Source organism: Homo sapiens, chromosome 21 (genome assembly GCF_000001405.40).
Source record: "Homo sapiens chromosome 21, GRCh38.p14 Primary Assembly".
Classification (NCBI taxonomy): domain Eukaryota; kingdom Metazoa; phylum Chordata; class Mammalia; order Primates; family Hominidae; genus Homo; species Homo sapiens.
Genome location: NC_000021.9, coordinates 25328713 through 25332288, shown reverse-complemented (window position 1 = coordinate 25332288; position 3576 = coordinate 25328713). Strand labels below are relative to the sequence as shown.

The 3576-nt window shown below is 37.6% G+C and overlaps 1 annotated feature.

Annotated features, from left to right (window-relative positions):
• Positions 1985–3184: an enhancer, noted in NCBI's record as "P300/CBP strongly-dependent group 1 enhancer chr21:26701419-26702618 (GRCh37/hg19 assembly coordinates)". NCBI's record gives its function as "activates an origin of replication core promoter dependent on BRD2, BRD4, P300/CBP, MED14 and CDK7 cofactors, with strong dependence on P300/CBP, by STARR-seq in HCT116 cells {active_cell/tissue: HCT116}" and the evidence as "EXISTENCE:reporter gene assay evidence [ECO:0000049][PMID:35650434]".

The following is a 3576-nucleotide window of genomic DNA, read 5'->3' as shown; positions in this document are numbered from 1 at the left end:
AGAGATGGAGCCTCACTCTGTTGCCCAGGCTGGAGTGCAGTGGAGTGATCTTGGCTTACTGCAAGCTCTCCCTCCCGGGTTCACGCCATTCTCCCACCTCAGCCTCGTGAGTAGCTGGGACTACAGGCACCCGCCACCATGCCTGGCTAATTTTTTGTTTTTTTGTATTTTTAGTAGAGACGGAGTTTCACCGTGTTAGCCAGGATGGTCTCGATCTCCTGACCTCGTGATCCGCCTGCCTCAGCCTCCCAAAGTGCTGGGATTACAGGCGTGAGCCACCGTGCCCAGCCATCATAACTATAATTTTTTAAAGGTTGCAATGACTTTAAATTTTTCTGGTCATATAGTAAATATAGCTCTTTGTAGTCCTGCTTTAGTGAAGTGAAATCTGACATGAAGCAAATTATTGTCAATCGTAACTTGAGGCATAGGCTAATGCTAGCTACCTTGGATTGAGATGACCATATGGTTTTGTAAAACTCCAAGTTGGAATGAAAATTAAATAAGGAAATAATGAATTTAGAAGTTTAAGAAAAGCTTCACTGCTTACATGTCATCTCAAGAATGAGAATCAAAGGAGATTTGGGAAAATGAGTTACCATGAAGAGCTTTACAAATTTAAGGCATTGTTGTTACCATGCTGACGGAATCATTCATTGCTGGATTGTGTGACTAGAGTCAGTCTATTGAATTTGCAGAGATAGCAGTTGAGATTTGTGATAGTTTGTTATTGGCATAACTGGTTGGATGCATTTTTGAGGTTGTGTTTGCCACATACCCTTTGTTGCTTCTGCACTTGAAATAGCCCATGTGGCTAATGGGATATAGAACATTCTGTGCCTCCCTCATGATTCAGTGGGGCCCAAAGATAGGACTTCAGTTGGCTACTAGCTCATGACTTTGCTGGCAGGTATTGTTCACAAGCCTGAATTCAGTGCTGTTGTTCAAAAGGGAAAGTGCACAGTCCAAATCAGGACTCATCTCTACTTCCTAGTGGGTTTTAAAGTTCATCTGCTAAAGGTGTTTGAGGCTATGTAGAGGCTGCTGGCCCATTTGAAGTGTTGAAACATCCATAGTTCAACATTGGCATATGACATGTAGTCATTATACTCTTTAATTGAACTTATTTGATTTGTAAATACATATTCATTTTTTAATATCAGGTAGTAGTAAGTTTATGAATAAAGGCAATGAATCAGTGGTGAAAATTAAAGAAAGTATAACATAGAAGACATTATCATGGGAGCAGTAGGAGCAGATAAATTTAGCAGAAGTTGTATCAGCCTACTTTTTGATTGTTGGAGTCTGAGTCTAAGGAAGAGTTAGTTGGTAGTGTTGAGTAGATAGGTCACACTTTCTTTGTTTTTTGAAGCCCCTCAGAATGACAGCTACTTGCAAGGCTGAGGCAAGTGGATCGCTTGAGCCCAGAAGTTTGAGGCATTTATTATACTTCGTGGGAAAAAAATACTCTCCCCTTTCTGATGCAACCTGCTTGTCTTCAATTCTTCAAACAACAGAATACCAGGGGGGACACTGTGATCTTTTGCCCTGTCCCTCTGACCTTGTTTGCTTATTTGTTTTTGTTTTCACTCTCTTCAACTTCTTTAAAATTTTATTTATTTATTTTTGTACTGTTACTCTTTTTTTCTACTCAGGGTTTTCATTTGGCCAGAAGGTCTTGTCAATCCATGCCTACTCTTCCATGGTTCTTATTCCTCTGAATGTAATTCACAAGAGGCAGTGCTCTACTTTAGATTCTAATCCCTCTAGCTCATTCTTTTGATGGCCTTAAACAAGATGAAGTGGCTGTGTGCTGAATAACTGAGTGGATCGACTATCCGAAGAGTTGGTTGGTATGTTTTGGCCTCAGAGTGGAAATCTAAGAACTGTAACTGAAATTTTTGAGTTGGAATATTTTTAGCCATGTAACCTATGACCTTTCTTACAGTTTTTCTTTCTTTTTTCTTTGTTTCTGTCCCCATTATTGTTGTATTTCTTTTTCTCAGTCATCTCCTTGACACATTGACTTTTTCTTGAAGACTTTTAACCTCAGTTTCCTACCTAGTAATATTGATATTCATATATTAGCCTTTGACTATCATTATCATAATAATTAATAATAATGATAATAATGACTAACATTTATTGAACATTTAGTGTGTGCAAACATTCTTTTTAGAATTTTACTAACATTCTCATTTAACTCTCAACACTTTAAATTAGGTACCCTCATTATCCTCATTTTGCAAGTTAAGAAACTGAGCACAGAGCAGTTAATGTACTTGCTTCAAATATAGTTGGTAAGTGACAGAGAAGATTCTAAGATCTGTGTAAATTCAGAGCATATATTCTTCACTGTGACATTGCATTGCCTGGCCTACTAATGGAGTATTTATAACCATACCATGATCACTGTCCTAAGGTTACAGAGATAGAGGTAAAAAGTATGAACTACTTATTTCTCTTTTTATTTTATTATCTTTTTATATGCCAAATTGAAAAATATGTCTGATAGAGATGAGCTAACAAAATGGGAGATGAGAATCCCCACACATGGCTTCAGCCTCACCAGGGTGGGATTGGGAAGAGACTAGGCAGGACCACAAGCCAGGGAAATACTTGAGCAGCCATGGCTGTGGGAGTGAATTAATTTTGCCTCTGGGACCCACAATCTGGCAGTCTCTCCAAGTCTTCAGAGCAGCACACAGCCCGATGTGTGATCTGCTGCCTGCTCAGAACTCTTTACTTTTTCAGAGAGAAAATGGGACTGAAATCATTCTTGCTTGAAGTCACATTTGTAACCCAGCTGAATAAAATGATGATTCAGATATAGGTGTAATCTGATAAATTCCAATGGGAAAAGTCACCCAGATTGAGTATATGATTCATTGAGAGCTCTTAAATTTCCCAGATGTTATTTCTCAACAATTATCATACCATTATATAATGAGGAAGATAAACTTCTCCATGGCCAGGATATCATGATGTTATGGTTATGGGAAAGTTAAATGTATAATCACTTTGGCACGTGATTTCTTCATATTTCTACAAGTTGTCTTTCAATTCTACATTAATTATAGTCAAATATATTTTTTGGGGGAATATACAGCAGATGCGATTTTTTTTTTAGTCTTTGATTTCTGTCTTGAGAGCCCACAGCTTTGATGCATTCTTGAAACAACTCTAATAAAGCAATGTGTTTTATTCCTTGTTTAATAAAATAAAGCCAGCAGGATGTCTTACTTTCAGAAATGTTTGATAAAGTATCCCCCTCACTGAGCTGAGAGAAAAAGCAATGGAGTTTTTTTTCATTTTATGAGCTCTAGGATGCAAAGTTCCTAAGTATAATTCATTGTTCTTTATGTGACCTTCTCACAACATCGAGTTTTCTCTCTTCTAGTTCTTTTGAATAATTCTCACAGTTCCTGGTGAGCTGCTAATCAGTTTAGCCTGTGAAATCTAGGATGGAACAAAGTACATTACTGGTGCAGGGAGATGAGTCTTTTACTTTAAAGTAATTCAGCATGGCTATTTGACATCCTTTCTCATTTAAGGAGAACTAAGATTTAATAAAAT